General features: G+C 38.6%; 1 long non-coding RNA gene across 1 annotated transcript, besides 2 other annotated features; it reads left to right on the top strand.

The window, feature by feature from the left end:
* Nucleotides 1,484-1,543: an enhancer, noted in NCBI's record as "active region_25907". NCBI's record gives its function as "activates an Ori minimal core promoter by ATAC-STARR-seq in GM12878 lymphoblastoid cells {active_cell/tissue: GM12878}" and the evidence as "EXISTENCE:reporter gene assay evidence [ECO:0000049][PMID:35858748]".
* Nucleotides 6,134-6,253: an enhancer, noted in NCBI's record as "active region_25906". NCBI's record gives its function as "activates an Ori minimal core promoter by ATAC-STARR-seq in GM12878 lymphoblastoid cells {active_cell/tissue: GM12878}" and the evidence as "EXISTENCE:reporter gene assay evidence [ECO:0000049][PMID:35858748]".
* On the top strand, nt 10,749-12,751 carry LOC105375253 (uncharacterized). The gene is made up of 3 exons (XR_927207.3): nt 10,749-10,923; nt 11,421-11,501; nt 12,393-12,751. It is a non-coding gene; the product is annotated as an uncharacterized LOC105375253 (long non-coding RNA).
* Nucleotides 12,752-18,521: the final 5,770 nt, after the last annotated feature.

Raw genomic sequence — 18,521 nt, 5'->3', positions numbered from 1 at the left:
ATCGATAATTCTAAACCAAAAATTCAGGAAAGGAGAAGGTGCAACCTATTCAGAAGTCCTTTAATGTTCAGAAAAAGACCATTGTAGGTATGGTTAACAAATTGAAGACAAAGACAAAAATGATTTAGGGGGTGTCTGCTGGGGGGTGGTTGTTGATATAATGAAGGGAATATTACAATAATAACCTAGAACTATAAATTCCAAATAAAAGAGCAAAGGTTGAATCATAGAATTAAAGACATATATTTATATTTAAAGAATATTTTGTGACAAAACAATAAAAGTTATTGTTTCAAAGGTATCACAATACTGTTTTATCCTGATATACATTTATTATTTACTTGATACATTTGAAAGCAAATGGTTTCAAACTAATGATTTAAGCATGATTTCTAACATCTATGTTACTTCAAAAGAAGAAAATAAATGAAATATAGCCTATGTAAGATGAAAACATAGTTTACAACAACAAAAAAGTAAACAACAAAGAAGAATAAAAAGCAGGACACCTTAAAGGCATCAGAAATATAGAAAAATACACCAATTTCACTATGAGTGTAAGCCATTTAATCAAAACTATTAAAATGTGAAAATATTAGATTAGACTAAAAATACCAGAAAAATTTAAAAATAGACAAAGATACACTCAGGAAAATGAAAAATGAAGGCCAGGTGTGGTGGCTCACACCTGTAATCCCAGCACTTTGGGAGGCCAAGGTGGGAGGATCACCTGAGGTCAGGAGTTCGAGACCAGCCTGACCAACATGGGGAAACCCTGTCTCTACCAAAACTACAAAATTAGCTGGGCGTGGTGGCACATGCTTGTAATCCCAGCTACTCCGGAGGCTGACGCAGGAGAATCGCTTGAACCAGGGAGGCGGAGGTTGCGGTAGCCTGAGATCACACCATTGCACTCCAGCCTGTGCAACAAGAGTGAAACCCCGTCTGAAAAAAAAGAAAAAAAAAAAGAGAAATGCAAAATGATTTATGCCCAGTGCCCATCATTTGGACACTGGTTGGATAAACATTCACACAGTGGAGTGCTACCCTCTCTTCTGACATTTAACCGGAATAAGGATGATCTCTATGTCCTGCTATGGAGATGTTCCCAGAGCAGATCCCTGCAGTGGCCATTTAGATGATTCTCTCCCTCCAGACAATGGCAAGAGTGCACTTCTCTGCTATAGGATAGAAAAATAACAGTGTTTTCCCTGCTCTCTACTCTCAGTCACTCAGTGCAACACTTCTGCCACCAGTTGTACAGGGGTTTTCCCCACATGAAGCAATTCTTACCCCACATGAAGCAATTTCATGTCCTCTCTGTCTCCTCCAGGCACCTCCATGTGTTCACCTATGTGGAAGCTCCCCAAACCCAGTCGTTTTGGGTTTTTATGGAGGCTTCATTACATAGGCATGATTGATTACATTAATGCCCATAGGTGTCAACTCTACCTTCAGCCTTTCTCCCCTCCCAGGAGACTACAGGATGGGGCTGAAAGTCCCAACTCTCTAATCATGCCTAGGTCTCTCCCATGACCAGTCCCCGTCCTGAAGCTATTTAGGGGCTGCTAGACAGTAGTCATTCATTAGCATACAAAAGACATTCTTGTCACTCCAGGAGCTAGCTCTTATCACGTTTAGGAGCTGTATGCCAAGAAATGGGGACAAAACCCAAATATATATTTCACAATATCACATCCACCCACTTGAATTTTGTCTTGCCAATAAAATGTAAGTGATGTGCACCACTTTTCTGTGAAATTGTTAAGAGGAAGCATGATTCACCTTTCTCTCTTTTCCCTTTGCCAAGGCTACAAAATGTTCTAGATGGTGGCTGCTCCTTTAGCAAGGATCCAAGTCAGGATGACAGGGACACAAAACAGAGCTCCTGGCTGACTAGCAAAGGGCACGTAACATGAGCCTGACATAGACCTTTGTTGTATAAAGTCGCTGAGACCTTGTGTTAGTTTGTTGCCATAGCTTAACACAGTATCCTGACAGATACATAAACAGGCACGCAGAAATAGAAAGCGTTTGGGATATAGAAAATGATTCTCCCAAATATGGCACTTGGGCATACTGCATGCTTTTGAAAATTGAGGCCCAGTGCAGTGGTTCATGCCTATAGTCCTGGCACTTTGGGAGGCCGAGGCGGGAGGATTGCTAGAGCCCAGGAGTTTGAGACCAGCCTGGGCAACATAGTGAGACCTGTATCTTAATAAAAAGGAAAAAGAAAGAAAATTGAAAGGACTCAGAAATAAGCCTCAGAATCAAGGTCCCTCTAACCCTCTTCTCCTTCCTTTCGACAGCAGAGAGAGGGACTGTCTCTGAAATTTCCTTATCTAACCAAGAAAGCTTCTTGCCAAAAGAAATACAATTGCCTGTTCCCTCCCTGTTACCTCATTATCTACAGCAGAAAAGAAGGTTGAAGAATGTAACCACACCTGGATAAACTTTTCCACAAGATAATGCCTGCCTCTCCACCTCACATTCTAAAGATAATCATCATTTACAAGTTAATTTCTGTATCCCTGGTCCATTCATTTTCCCTAATAATCGTTTACCACCCTTTAAAGAACTGGCTACATTCCCTATATCCTTCCTCCTCTATGAAAAAGGGTATAGAAGCTTCTGTACCCCATTAGGAGATTGGGGTAATCACTGTTTGATTCCCTCACCCACATGTTAATAAATTTGTATGCTTTTTCTCCTATTAATCTGCCTTCTGTCAGTTGATTTTCAGTGAACTTTTACAGAATGCAGGGGAAGTTTCCCTTGGCCCCTACAGTTTTGCACTGTGAGCAGGATAGCAAAACTGCTCTGCTCTTCTGGAAGCCACAGTCAAGGGAGCCCAGGACTCAACAAACCCGTAGGATAAGAAATTCTTACCAGCCAGGCTCCAAGCCTCTCTTTGTGCAATCTGGTCCAGTAGACAGTAAAAGTCACTGTCCCTTTCCCTCTCCAAAGTCTTTTTTTTTTTTTTTTTTTTTTTTGAGACAGAGTCTCACTCTCTTGCCAAGGCTGGAGTGCAGTGGTACGATCTTGGCTCACTGCAACCTCTGCCTCCCAGGTTTAAGCAATTCTTGTGCCTCAGCCTCCCGAGTAGCTGGGATTACAGCCATGCACCACCACTACCTAGTGGTGGTGCTAATTTTTGTGGTTTTAGTAGAGATGCGATTTTGCCATGTTGGCCAGGCTGGTCTCAAACTCCTGACCTCAGGTGATACACCCACCTGAGCTTCCCAAAATGCTGGGATTATAGGAGTGAGCCACCGTACCTAGTTGAAAGTCTTGATTAATGGAGGAAAAGGATTTGTGAGCCTAGTCTTAGGTGTAGCAACTCTGGTGTACTTTTTGGTATGAAAATTCATATTGTCTTTTTCCTCCCAGAAATAGTCTTGTCTTTTGTCTTTGTCTTTCTGTGTTGTTCTGTCATAAAGAGGGATTGTGTCAATATGAGATAATAAGAAGGGTCAAAATCTAGTTTTAAAGAGTTTAATCAAGAAGAAAGCTGGGAATGGCCATTCTGGGACACACAGATTTCAGAGAAATAGGATCAGTGCTCTGAAGTTAAAAGTTAAGTTTTTGCTTATATAGGAAGAAGACAAAGAAATTTAACAGGATTATATTTCCTATATACTGGTTTAAGAGTTATAACAAATTAATTAGTTAGAGTTTGTTTTCTTTTCTGTATGGCTTGTTTTATTCATAGCTGATTTTCATTTCCTTTCCAATTTAAAAGAGTATGTTTAACATTCCATCTTAAGACAATGTGGTAGTCATGAAGTCTTTGTGTGAGAAAGGTGAGAGGGAGGTTAATCTACAATGAAGATCAACAGAGGAGAAGGAAGGGGTCTTCCTTGGTGCCCTTCTGTCATTCATGTCATTTTATTAACACAAAACAATACAGGTAAGGAAGGAGGCTTAATCTATAATCAGAGAAACAAAGGTTACAGCTGTCTGTTATGTGATGCAGGCCCATAATCACATTCCTTTAAGGTTCAAAATAATTTTAGAGTTCCAATACCTTCAATTTGGATTACTTATTTTTACATTTTTCTTCTTTTTGGAAGAAAGTTCTTCAAGAACTTTTTGAAGAAACCATCATAGATGAATTTAATGGTTGGACTCCTTTTATGTTGAGAAATTTTGATCCCATGTCACTAGGAAGGCACACTCCTAGGATGTCATGTCCCCTAGCAAAGGATGATTAAACCAGCTGTAAGCTGATGTAGTATAGGCTGAATTTAAGTCAGCATAAAGAAAGTGATTTTGTGTGTTAGGCTAAATAGCTATATCTTCAATTTATGCAACTATTTGGGGGACCATTATTTTAGTCTTTTCAGTCACAAGTTGACTCCATTTTAAACAAATGCTGTAACAACAGTGTAGACAAAACCAGAACAAAACACAATATGCAATTACAATTCCTAGAATAAGTAACAGCTTTTGCTGTTAAGTTACCCAAGATCCAAACCATCTACTTAGCTAGTCACTTAGAGAAGATTTGGGATCTGAAAAGTTGGTTATTGAGGTTTTCATATCAGCCATTCATTTATTGATGTTATTAGACTCATCTAGTATAGAGACACAACATTCAGTTTTTATGATGGTACCTTGGGCTGCAGTGGGTGTGTCTAAAACTTGTTGTGCCATACAGCCTTTCTTGTAATAGCAACTTCATTGTTTAATAACAAAGTACTGATGTGGCTATCATTTAGAGCCTGTAGTGTATAATTGATCGGGGCCTCTACATGCCAAATAACATTCTCAAATACCCAGTTGTGGGATGAAGATGGAAGCTAAATGATCATACCAATGGAACACAGAAAAAGCCCAGCAGGATTATAAATGAGGAAAATTTGCAGGTTTTGATAGGGAATGAACTATTTGACCTTGTGCCCAAGCATAACCCAAGGAACATTGTCCTAGCCATCCTGGGAGTAGCCATGTCCATAGATTAGTGCCACATGACCAAAACTTTCCATTTGAAGCTAACCAAGAAATACTCAGTTGTTGTATCTATTCAGTGGCAGGCCAATCAGTATTTTGTAATGTAATGGTGTTGAAACACTGTTCTTTGGGTATCCATCCCATATTTCTGGTGCAATTAGGCCAGTTATCTTTAATGTAATTTCTCTGGTCCCAACATAGACAACGTAGCTGAGCTGACGGGAGGGAATAAGCCAGATAAACCCATCTTAAATTTGTGTTATATGATACTGAAGTTGAGTTTTCTTATAACTGAGTACCCTATTTTTAAGGTTTTTTTCCTCTTCCTTCTTCAGTCCTTTTCTATTAACTTTTTAGTAATAAAATAATATCCTTTACTCTCCTTCTTTCCACAAGGCACTCCCTTGCATTGCTAGCTTATCTAATTATGCTTGCTTAGAAGTTCCAGAGATTGAATCTTGAGACAATCCAGGTGCCTATGGAATTATCCCCCACCAGGAGATTACTTCAAGCCTGCAGCTAATTTACAACCCAGTCAAGCCCGAGATGGCACCAGCTCATTCACAAGTTGGAGCAATAACTCAAGATAAGTCATCAGAACAAGTCATATAGACCCACACCACCTTGCCACCCCCAACTCCCGCATTTCCTCCATACCAAACTTCCCCTTCTCAAGCTCTAGTGTTTTGCCTGAGAATTTTAAAGTGGTTTCATCAAGGCAGGAGCCTGAACTACTTCCCACTGTCAATATTGGAACATAAAGTCACTTCACTTTCTTTCTATCACACCTTGTCCTTGTTACTTGATTCTGCAAGTGACAAACGGCCAAATCTGCATTCAGTTACAATTTTTGGTGTCCTGTACAGGGAAGCTGTGCATTCTGGGTGATCCTAGTCTGTCAGTCTGGCTTCATGCTACCAAATGGGCCAGGGGGCTGCCTGTGAGCACCAGCTGCTTATAGCTAGCTGACATTATGGCCAAAACCCTGGGGAATTTCCCTGAAACTGACAGTTTTGTCCTGGGGAACCTCCCTGCTCTTTCTGCCATGGCACTGGCTGGCTTCTACACTTCACTGGTACAAAGAAAGTGACCTCTGAGTAAGTCGACACACTTTGGAAATTGGATGAGGCAGCTGGTGTGCACCCAGCTTAGCTCTGTCTTTTTGGGTGGTATTGCTTGGACTCTGCTCTGCTTAGAATTAGGTGCTCACAACACAGTTTGGGCATGCACACCATTTGTGTTTGTGATGCCACTGGAGCTTTGCTCTGTTTGGACTCAGCTGCTCTTGGAGCCATTTGTGATCAGGATGGAGGAGGTTTCCAGACTCTTTACCCAGCCCCTTGAGCGGGGACTTTGTTTGGGAGAGCGCCATTTGAAATTGTGACTGTGTGAGTGTGTAGCATTTATATTTGGACCCTTATCTTTCTTTATTTCTTTTCTTTTCTGCCTACTTTGTATCTGCTATTATTAAGTTACTAGTACTGAGATTTTGTTTTTCTTATACAGTTCAGCCACTTCTAACTAAAATGTAAACAGTGAAAATTCATTCAAAATTGAAGGAAAAAAAATTCAAATGCCAGAAATATTGGCTGCTTTTCGTAGCTAAAATCTGGTAATAAAAGATTTGAAAGGATTTTATTTTGAGAGCTTTATAGTTAAAAGTCAACTTACTTAAAACTGATATTTAAGACATATATTGTTTTAAAGCCCCTGCTTTCTCTCTGTAAACACTTCTTAGCAGAATTCCGTCTGACTCTCCATATACTCCTGTCTGTTGTTCCTTCCTCTTTTATCCAGTCTTTTTTACTTTGTAGGGGGAGACCAGAAATTACTTGGCATTATGAGAGAATTTTGACCTTGATATGTAATAGCTAGATTTAAAAATATACTTTGTAAAATGGCTGATGGCAGTTATAATAAATAATTCTTCTTACAGGGCCATACAACTTTCATTGGGCATTTAAATAAGCAGAGTATGCTCCTGGACAACTGGAAGGTATGGAACGGGGGATGGGCTGATTACAGAAAGGGCTGATTGGCTTTGGGTTGCCCACCAGCCTCACAGAAATGTCCTTTTGATGGTATACACTGTGAAAGCATTGCACTATCTCATCCTGTAGCACTTCCCTCTTTGGGGCACCCAGGATTCGGTGGAAAAATGAGATCTTTGATTTGGGGAGGTCTGTTTGCCTTCCAGCTGTGCCTGCTTGTTAGCCCTACAAAATGCATGTTTCCTGGCCCTATTCCTTAAAAGTCTCCACCTTAAAGCCAGTAATCTTAAAGCCAGATCTAAGTTCCAATTAAGAAACTCAGATCTTTTAGAAAATTTCCATTTGTAAGAGTGTCTGCCTTTGCTGGCTGTCTTGACTGAACTTTTACCCACACCATTTTTCCTCACTCTAAATAGAATATGAATTCTCTATTTTGTTTCACCTAATAAATATTTCTACGAAAATGTAAATTTGAAGCTGTCTGGCTGGCAATTGTTTGGGAAAGGGAACAGGTAATCAAGAGACCGATCGTCTAAAACAAGAAAAAGAAACTTAAAACTGGCAAATGAAAAATAATATCACCTGCTTCTGTCTGTCTCTCTGTGTATTTATATGTGTTGTGTGTGTGATGTTTCACTACCAAAATATAGAAAAGGGCTCTAATTAATTGGCTGAAAGAAAAATAAGCAGCTAAACACAATATTTTATTAGAAAAATAGAAAAACTTTAAAATGTCATGTGACTTTAGTAATCTTTGGGAAATAAAGACAGTGGTAAAGATTATTGGTAAAATAAAATAAAATTGTCTTCAGAATTTAGACACTTACTCTGAATTAAGCAAGCCAGATACTGTCTTTGCTAGATGTTTTAAGATCACAAACTGCTTCTGTGACATTTTAATAATTGTTGGACTCGCCAGCTTTGGAGCCATTAAATTCTAAGTAAAGCCAGGGCACACATGGACTTAGCTGTGCTCCCTGGCTATGCTGGAAAAAGTCAAACATTATCTGAAGTTCTATCCTGTCTCCTAGGTTCTACACCTGGTATATAATTAAAATTGCTTACTTCCTTTATCTTTCATTAAGAATAAAAGTTGCTAGGAGTTTACATTATAACATATGTAATTGGGACTACTAGAAAAACAGTTTTACATGCAAGTTGTCTAAAGAAAGTAAAATATGTCTTGGTAAAAAGTTATAAAAAGGCATGGAAACATGGTTTTTTATTAAAGATAAAGTAATTTTGCCTAGTTTAGATGGTTTAAAGATTATTTTAAGTTAAAAAAACGAAGTTTAAGTAAGTTATAAAAGGTTTATAGAAGATTAATTTTTTTTTTTTTTTTTGAGATGGAGTCTCACTCTGTCACAGAGACTGAAGTGAAGTGGTACGATCTTGGCTCACTGCAACTTCTGCCTGCCAGGTTCAAGCCTCCCTGGTAGCTGGGATCACAGGCACATGCTATCATGTCCGGCTAATTTTTTTATTTTTTGTAGAGATGGGGTTTCACCATGTTGGCCAGGCTGGTCTTGTACTCCTGACCTCAAATGATCCACACACCTTAGCCTCCCAAAGTGTTAGGAATACAAGTGTGAGCCACTGTGCCCAGCCTGATTAATCTTATAAAATAAATTCTGCATGTGAAGAAGCTGGCTAAAATTAAAGGATATTATTTTGTATATCCATAAATTGAGTATTAAAATAAAAAGACACTGATATAGGGCCAGAATCTGGGCCCATGTATCAAAATAACAGAGGTTTCTTAGAGCATTGATCTGCTCTTTAACAAAAAATTATAGAGTTATAAATGGTTTATAAAAGTCTTACCTTACGGTCAAACTAATAGACTGGCTTACAAGGTTTTATAAAAAATTAACTTTAGGTCAAGCATGGTGGCTCAAGCCTATAATCCCAGCACTTTGGGAGGCCAAGGCAGGTGGATCACATGAGGCCAGGAGTTCAAGACCAGTCTGGCCAACATGGTAAAACCCTGTCTCTACTAAGAATACAAAAATTAGCCAGGAGTGGTGGCATGCACCTGTGATCCCAGCTACTGGGGAGGCTGAGGCATAAGAATCATTTGAACCTGGGAGGTGGAGGTTGCACTGAGTTGAGATCATGCCACTGCACTCCAGCCTGGGTGACAGAGGGAGACTATGTCTCAAAAAAGAAAAAAAGAAAAGAAAAAAAATAACTTCACTGTTAGTAATGCAACAATACAAAGGTGAAATTTGTTTTTCTTTTTTAAACAAAATTTTCATATAATATTGAGAGATAATGAAAGGGTTTTCTTTGACTTTTGAGTAAGCTACAGGAAAACAAAGAAAACAAAGAAAAAAAAGACAGAAAGAGAGAAGAGACAGATTTAGTTGGCCTGGTGTTTTCTTTATTGGGTCTTTGTATTAGGCTTTTCTTGCTATGAAGAAATACCTGAGACTGGATAATTTATAAAGAAAAGAGGTTTAATTGGCTCACGATTCTGCAAGCTTTATAAAAAGTATGGTGCTTGCATCAGCTGGGCTTCTAGGGAGGCCTCAGGAAGCTGACAATCATGGCAGAAGGCAAAGGGGGAGGAGGCATCTCACAAAGCAAGAGCAAGAGAGAGAGAGAATATGGGTGCCACACGCTTTTCAACAGCCAGATCTCATGAGAACTTACTCACTATTGTGAGAACAGCACCAAGTGGGTGGTGCTAAGCCATTCATGAAAAATCCACCTCCATAATCTAATCACCTCCCACCAGGCCCCACCTCCAATGCTGGGAATTACAATTCAACATGAGATTTGGGTGGGGACAAATATACAAACTATATCAGTTTGTTGTTTAGAAAACTGAGTCTCCCCTCTATTAGTGAGTAAAGGTTTTTGTCTTTTGATATTTTTGAGTTGTCATTTCAGCTAAATGAATAATCTGTGATTCCATTTTGTGTTATCAAATGTTTTAAGCCGTTGATATTTGACAAACCTTCCAAAATTGAAATTCCAAGTTCTAAATTAAGCCTTTTTAGATCTCATTAACCTTTTTAAATATTACATCTCCTGAAGTCTAAAAGAGACATATTTGACTTATTTGGATATTAAAATCATACAGGAAGCATTGTGAAATATAAAATAATGTTTAACTTTCTTGGATTCATTATACATTCATATAAATGTATTACTAATATCTGTTCCAAAACTGTGTAAGATTCCTATAATTCTGATATATCTCAGTATATGCTATCAGTAATAATTAATGGTTGCTATGTTAAATTATTGTGTGCCACAGAGATAATGAAATTTCCTTGTCAATTGTGTCTTCAACCAAGGCTGCTCTGAAACTGTTGTCATCTATAATTGTTGTTTTATTTTGATTCTTTTCAAAATGCGGATTTATAATCAGCTATAGGACTCTGATCCTATAGGTAGGTGCTCTTGAATGCAGGTTTCTGATAACTTTTGAGAGTATGACATTAGAATAAAGTAAAAAACTTCCAAGACTCCCATGAAGAGCTAATGTGTTCATGAATATCAAGCAGAAAAAGAGTTGATTACACAGACTGAACTAATGGAAGACCAAAATAATCTTTTTATGACTTTTTGTTTAAAGTATTGGTAATTCCTTTGTTTTTCAAAGTCCAGAAAATCTTTCTTTTTCTTTTGAGTGATTTACAGAGTATATTCTTGTGAGAAAAATTTGAAACATTTCTGTCCTTTACCTGATTTCTCCAGAATTTGAAAACTATTTGTAAGTATACTTAATTTATGGCAGTATGTTTATTTCTATAAGTTCAATAAAAATCTGTTTTCTTTTTTTTTAAACAGGACACCATTGAAGGCACTGGTTATTTTACCAAGGCTTTGACTGGAATGGCATGGTTTCAGTTATAAACAGACTGCTTTAAGGAATCAAAGTTGACTTACAGAGCTGATAAAAGGCCCCTAAGAAAAACTGGCCTCACCTCTTGTCTATATAGTCCCTATATAGGTTTCCTGACCTGTGGTAAGTAAAGAATGTCACTTTCTGACAGGCCTAGGAGCTCCAAGTTTTTATGGGATCTTGAAAGGAGAAGAATTTACCCAATTCATACAGATATTTGCAGGCAGATAAATCCATGGCTGAACTCAGGGCTTTAAACAGTCTAATCTGAGATTTCTTATAAAAAAATAGCATTCCAGCAAAGTCAATTTTTTTAAAAGGGCCTATATGGCAAATAATTATTCTTGCTGCACTTTATACAAATAATGAGGCTAATCAGGCCAAATATAATAATACTAAAACTTGTTTTACAAATAGTTCCATGATTTGTCTTTAGTAAAAATGGGGACTGAAAAAAGAAAATTTGTGTTTCAAAAAAAAAAACTATAGTACACCTATTGTTAGAGTGTAGTCTTGTCCATTGTTTTTGGATCTGTATTATTTTCTGCAATTTGGAATGAATCTTTATTTTTTCCAGGCAACAATTCCCCAGACTAATGCTTTTAAATTTCTTTTTCCAGTTTTTTGACTTGGACTCAATAAAATTGCTGCTACCTTTTTACTGAGGCCTTACAAGCTAAAGCTTATTCCTTGAGACACAGGTGAGAAAAATGAGTCAGATTGCCACTGCCTTCTTCTTTTGAAACTGAAGATAGATTCTGCCCAACATCAACTTTGTTTTTCTTCTGTTTCCATAAAAATACCTCCTATTCACCTTCATCACATATTGAGACCTAGCCCATCTGCAATGGCACCTCCTGGAATGGGAAACAGCCATTTAACTAAACTGATCCATTCTTAAGAACTAGACAGGGTTTATAACCATCTTCATGAATATTCATAGCTCCTCCTGTAATCTGTTAAATATACATATATACATACACACACACACGTATATATACATATATACATACACATACACGTATATATACATACATACATAAGACATGCAAGAAATTCAAGCCATGTTAAACCCAGACCCTACATTGCCATTAGATGGTTTACATCCTAGTTTGGGTCAGGACCATCCTGATGGGAACAGTTACTGGTAATTCTCACTATAATTGTGGGAAATAGGGATACTTCTGTGCTGTGGGTTTTACTGCTGCAGCGCCTTTTGCATGGGATACTAGATAGACTTTCTCAGGGACTTGCAAGGCTCTCCACCATAATGCTGCAACAGGTTTCATCTGAGCCCAGGTACCTGAGAACACTTTCACCTCCAAGTAGATCAGTTCCATTCCAATACCTTTTAACTACACCCCTTTGCAATAGGAAGTAGCTAGAATGAATATGTCACTTGAGTTCCATAGAAATAGAATGGCATTTGATAGTGAGGTGTTGTAACCAAGGACCCTATTTTTGTTATTTTTTTCTTTTTCTTTCTGCAGTCCTTTCTACAACTTATTAGTAATGAAATAATAAGCTTTACTCTCCTTCTTTCTACCAGGTACTTCCTTGCATTGCTAACTTATCTAATTATGTTTGCTTAGAAGTTCCAGGGATTGAATCTTGAGACAATCTGGGTGCCTATGGAATTATCTCCCACCAGAAGATTACTTCAAGGCAGCAGCTAATTTACAACCTGGTCAAGCCTGAGATGGTGTCAACCCATTCTCAAGATGGGACAATAACTCAAGATAAGTCATCAAAACAAGCCACGTAGACCAGCACCACCTCTCACGCCCCCACCCACCACCCCCCACCCACCACATATCCTCCATACCAAACTTCCCCTTCTTAAACCCTAGCATTTTGCCCAAGAATTTTGAAGCAGTTTCATTAAGGCAGGAGCCTGAACCACTTCCCCACTGTTAGCTTTGGAAAATGAAGTCAATTTCCTTATACTGAACCTTGTCCTTGTTATTTAGTTTTGCAAGTGGTGAGCAGCTGAACCTACATTTGGTTGCAGTCTTATTTCTCAATTGGGGCAGTGTCTGTTTCGTCTCTCAACTGGGGCAGCACAGCGTTAAAGCTAGTGAATTAATTTCTTTTATGGAGAAGTTCTTCCCTTACCCTTTATTTTGTAAGGTATTAGTAATAGACCAGTGATGGTTATTATGTTTAGTCATACTAGTGTTAAGTACCAATAACTGTGCTGGGGAAACATGGATATATAATATTTCTGATATTCTATCCAATCTTGCCCTTGAAGAGATTTCCACCATGGGAAATCCAGAACTACTGGAAAGGGACATGAGACCACATACCCAATGAGCATCCTTTTGTAACCTATTAGCATAGTGTTGGGCCCATTGCAAAAAGAGGTTGCTTTATGGGCAACAAGTGGTATAGTAGTACCAAGGCATGAGAACTAAGGAGAAAAAAAAAAGAAGTTGGGTGGAAGCTTGTAAAATAAAATATTCTCCATCTATTAACAATTGTTAATATTAAGCATTAATTTAGATACAGACCTGGTCCAGGTCTTGGGACACCCAACCATGTCTGCGACCATCTTCTTCTCAATTGGCATCGCCTTATTTTAAGTAGAAGATTACTCTCTGGTGAAACAGTCTATTCAGGAGGCTCAGCTTTCCTTAGATGTGAGACGTGAATCCAGGAGTCTATGCCTTCTAGTTTAGCAGCACAAGAATTAGTAAGAAGTACCTGGTAAGGTCCGCTGTATCCTGGTTGGAGACAATCTTTTAAGAAATGTTTCCAATAGACAAAATCTCCAGGTTCAAGTCTGTGGTTCTTTAGATTTATGTTTCCAAGAAGCTTTCTGTGAAAAGATTATTTTACTAAGTCACAAGGTGGCACAATTTCTAGGAGACATTTTGATAGGTTTGCCTGTTATTTTAAATGGAGATAACTGTTATTTTACCAAAAGGAGTAAATCTTTTGTTTAGCAAAACCAATGGAATGGATTTTGGCCAAGGAATTTTAAAAGCCTCAGTTAATTTTGCCATTTGGGTTTTTATTATTCTGTTTGTGCATTCTACTAACCCAGATGATAGGGAGTAATAAACACAATGGAAATGCTGAAAAATAGGCCAGATGCTACATGCTGATTGAATTATCTATCCAGTGAATTATCTATTCCAATTATTCAATACCTCTGTTGCTATGAAGTTCCAATGAAATGTCTGGGTTGGAATAATTTTTTCTACAATAATTTTACTTACTGCTAAGGCTATTGCTCTTCTTCATGGAAATGCCTCTACCCAATAAGAAAACATGCAAATAATTACCAGGACATATTTGTAGCCTTATGAAAGTGGCAATTAGAAAAAAATCTAGTTGCTGTATTTCAAAGGGAGTCTCAGATAAAGGAAAGTGTCTTTGGGAAGTAAGTAATGCTTTTCCTGGATTATATTTTGGGCAAATATGACTGCTTGTATACCTTATGAGCTATCGTTGGAGAAGGTTTCCAGTAATACTGTTTTTCCTGGGCAACCATTTTGGCAGGACTCCAGTAAGTTAGATCATGCACATGTGTTAAAAATGATAACTGTAGGCCAGGTGCAGTGGCTCGCACCTGTAATCCCAACACTTCAGGAGGCTGAGGCAGGAGGATTGCTTGAGGCCAGGAGTTTGAGACCAGGCTGGGCAACATGGTGAGACCCCATATCTACAAAAAATTTACAAATTAGCCAATCATGATGGCGTGTTCCACCTAGTCAGGAGGCTGAGGTGGGAGGATAGCTCGAGCCCAGGAAGTCAAGGCAACAGTGAGCCATGTTCATGCCACTGCATTCCAGCCTGGGTGACAGACTGAAACCCTGTCTTTAAAAATATGATGGCTGTAATTCAGCAAGAAGTATGGGTGAGTTGTTTCACCTGTACCATTCTTCATCTTTTGGTGAATATTTACGCCCTTTTGTGTCCCAAACTTTTTGTGCTGATTTTGGGACTCTGGATTAATTTTATATCAATTTCAAGTGCTTCCTTAAAAGTTAATACAGGTAGATTTTCCTGTTTAGATGCGTTTTGAGTAGCACTCTTTGTGACCTTATTAGATCACTAATTTCCTCTGCATTCTGGAGTATCTTTTTTGGAATGACCCGGAATTTTAATAATGGCCAATGATTTTGGCAATAATATGACTTTTAGTAGTTGTGAAATAAGATGTCTTTTTTTTATGGATTGACCTGAAGAGATTGAGAATCCTCTTTGTTTCCATAACACTTCAAAATCATGGGCTACTCCAAAAACATATCTACTGTCTGTATAAATACTAGTGAATATATTTTTCTGCCAATTGACAGGACCTATTTAATATTATTAATTCCACTTGTTGAGGTGAAGTGGCTTTTGGAAGATAGGCACTTCCTGTTTCTTCAGTTAAAGACACTATAGTGTATCCAGCCCTATAGAATCCAGATTCATCCATTAAGTAAGGTCCATTTATAAGCCAAACAACAATATTAGTATTTGCAAGGGGGATATCTCAATAGATGTGACCTGGGAGAAAGACATTGATCAATTAGGGCTATGCTGTTGTGCAGCAGCTCATCTTAAAACAAAGGCAAAAGAGTTGCAGGGTTTACATTGTTACACCTAGATATGGTGATATAAGGAGCTAAAAGAAATAGGACCTCATGTGAGGCCAGTCTGAGAACTGAGTAATACTGAATATGGTATGAGTTCAGCAGTGCCTCCATAGAATGAGAGATGAAGATAGTAAGGGATGTTCCCATTGCAATGTCTTTAGTTGCCTTAACAAAGCATAAGCTGTTAATGGTTTGCATACAAGTTGGCCATCCTCTTGCTACAGGGTCTTTATTGGCTATAATACCCCCAAGTCTATTTTGATCTCCATGTTTTTGAGTTAGAATCCCTAAAGCGTTTCCATCACTTTAGTGTTTAAATACTGAAAATGGAAGGTTATATAATAATTTGGATGTACTAAAGCTGAGGATTTAGCAAAGTCATTTTTGATCATTTCTAATGTTATTTGATTTTTTTCTGTCCTGTCTAGAAGGTCTGTAATGTCCAGTTATAAGAGAGTATATAAGGGCTGGGCCTTTGAAGAGAAGTTGGCTATCCAATTTCTACAATATCCTGTCAGCCCCCAAAACCCTCTCAATTGCTTCTTGCTTCTCAGTGGTGGAAAAGCTAGGATTCCTTTCAACCTAGCTGGATTAATAGGAAGTCGTTCCTTGACTGTTACATGGTATATTAGACTGTTCTCACATTGCTATAAAGAACTATCTGAGACTGGGTAATTTATGAAGCAAAGAGGTTTAATTGACTCACAGTTCCACAGGCTGTATAGGAAGCATGACTGGGAGGCCTCAGAAACTTACAGTCATGGTGGAGGGTAAAGGCGAAGCAAGCACGTCTTACCATGGTGGAGCAGAAGAGAGAGAGAGAGTGAAGGGGCAAGTGCTAAACACTTTTAAACATTCAGATCTATGAGATCTCACTCACTGTCACAAGAACAGCAAGGGGGAAGTCCGCTCCCATGATTCAATCTCCTCCCACCAGGTCCCTCCCCCAACAATGGGGATTACAATTCAACATGAGATTTGGGTGGGGACAGTGGGCCAAACCTTATCAGATGGCCTATGTACTTTACTTGTTTTTGACAAAATTGAAGTTTTTCCTTTATAAACCTTATCACCCTTTAGGGCCAATTGTTGTATATGAAAGCCCATTGTTCTTTAAGCAAGTAAGTAAATCATCTACTTATTGTATTAAGACAGACTTCTCAATGAAGTCAATGTCTGAGTGGTCTGTTTTTAATATTTGTAAAAAGTAAGTCAGACTTTTTAGTGTATCCTTGGGGCCTGACTGTCCAGGTATATTGTCTATCTTCCCACATGATGTTAAAGATAAATTAGCTATCTTTATCTAAAGGAATACTGAAGAATGCACTACGTAAATCTATGACTGGCCGGGTGCAGTGGCTCACACCGGTAATCCCAGCACTTTGGGAGGCCAAGGCGGGCAGATCATGAGGTCAGGAGATTGAGATCATCCTGGCCAACATGGTGAAACCCCACCTCTACTAAAAATACAAAAAATTAGCTGGGCACGGTGGTGCATGCCTATAATCCCAGCTACTTGGGAGGCTGAGGCAGGAGAATCACTTGAACCTGGGAGGCGCAGGTTGCAGTGAGCCAAGATTGTGCCACTGCATTCCAGCCTGGTGACAGACCAAGACTCTGTCTCAAAAAAAAACAAAAAAACAAAAACAAAAAACTATGACCGAAAATTTCCGCATTAGATGGGAAGGCTGTGAGCAGTGTGTGAGGATTAGGCACAACTGGATGCTGTGGAATTACTTTGTTGTTTATTGCTCTCAAATCCTCTACAAACCTCCACCCTCTACCATCAGGTTTTCTTACCAGGAGAATTGGTGCATTGCAAGGACTTGTACACAGAATGACCAGTACTCTTTCTATATAATCTAAGATTATATGTTTTTTTTTTTTCTTCTAGGGCTACAGTTCTGAAGGGATATTGTCTGCTATTTGGAAGCCATTTCCAATGAGTCTACTTAAATTATCTGCTATTTGGAAGCCATTTCCAATGAGTCTATTTAAATTTTTATTGAAGTAGTTGAAACAATATTTTCCTGTATCAATGCAGGACTTTGACCACAATTGATCAGGTATTGCCTTATTGCATTTTGTAATTCATCACTTAATAAGTCAGTGACTTGAAGGCAAGATGGATAGCAATTGGATTCGATTTTGAAAAAATTCCTTTTTTTTTGAGATGGAGTCTGACTTTGTTGCCCAGGCTGGAGTGCAGTGGAATTATCTCTGCTCACTGCAACCCCCACCTCCCAGGTTCGAGCAGTTCTCCTGCCTCAGCCTCCCAAGTAGCTGGGACTACAGGGGCACACCACCATGCCTGGATAATTTTTGTATTTTTGGTAGAGATGGGGTTTTACCATGTTGGTCAGGCTGGTCTCAAACTCTGACCTCAGGTGATCAACCCACCTCGGCCTCTCAAAGTGCTGGGCTGACAGGCATGAGCCACCACTCCCAGATGATTTTGAAAAATTTTCTGTCTGTTAATTATGTTTTATCATGTATAGCATCTAATTCTAAATACATTTCACCTTTCTAGGAGAAAGAAATATGGGTATTATATAGTTCTAAGAAGTTTTCTTATTAGATGGATGGAAACTAAGGAAACCAAAAGTAAAACATGTGTCCCCTGTAAGGGACCTAGTTGAAAAGTTACAGGTTGAGACTTATGCGCTGATACAGGAGTATTTATAACACCCGCCATTTGGACCAAGTGTTTACTCGGAGGAGTGGGACCTTGCAATAAGGTAGGATGTATTAGAGATAATGTTTGGAACCTAGGAGGGGCCTTGCCAAGGGCTCCTGAAAACTTTGGCAAAAGTCAATTGGATAAAAACAGTCCTGCTGGTACCAGGTATTGATTGACAAAGCAGCAGCAGTCAAGGCAAGATTCACTTTGGGTCCCTTCTTGGGCAGCCAGATATGTCAACCTGAAATGATATAATAAAAAGGGTCAGAATCCAGTTTTAAAGAGTTTATTCAACTGAAAAGCTGGGAATGACCATTCTGGGACTCACAGACTCCAGAGAAATGGGATCAATGCTCTAAAGTTAAAAGTTAAGTTCTTGTTTATATAGGAAGAAGACAAAGAAATTTAATAGGACTAATTTCAACATTTTCTATACAAGTTATAGAGTT

Source organism: Homo sapiens, chromosome 7, assembly GCF_000001405.40.
Source record: "Homo sapiens chromosome 7, GRCh38.p14 Primary Assembly".
Lineage (NCBI taxonomy): Eukaryota > Metazoa > Chordata > Mammalia > Primates > Hominidae > Homo > Homo sapiens.
This window is presented reverse-complemented; position numbering and strand designations above follow the sequence as displayed.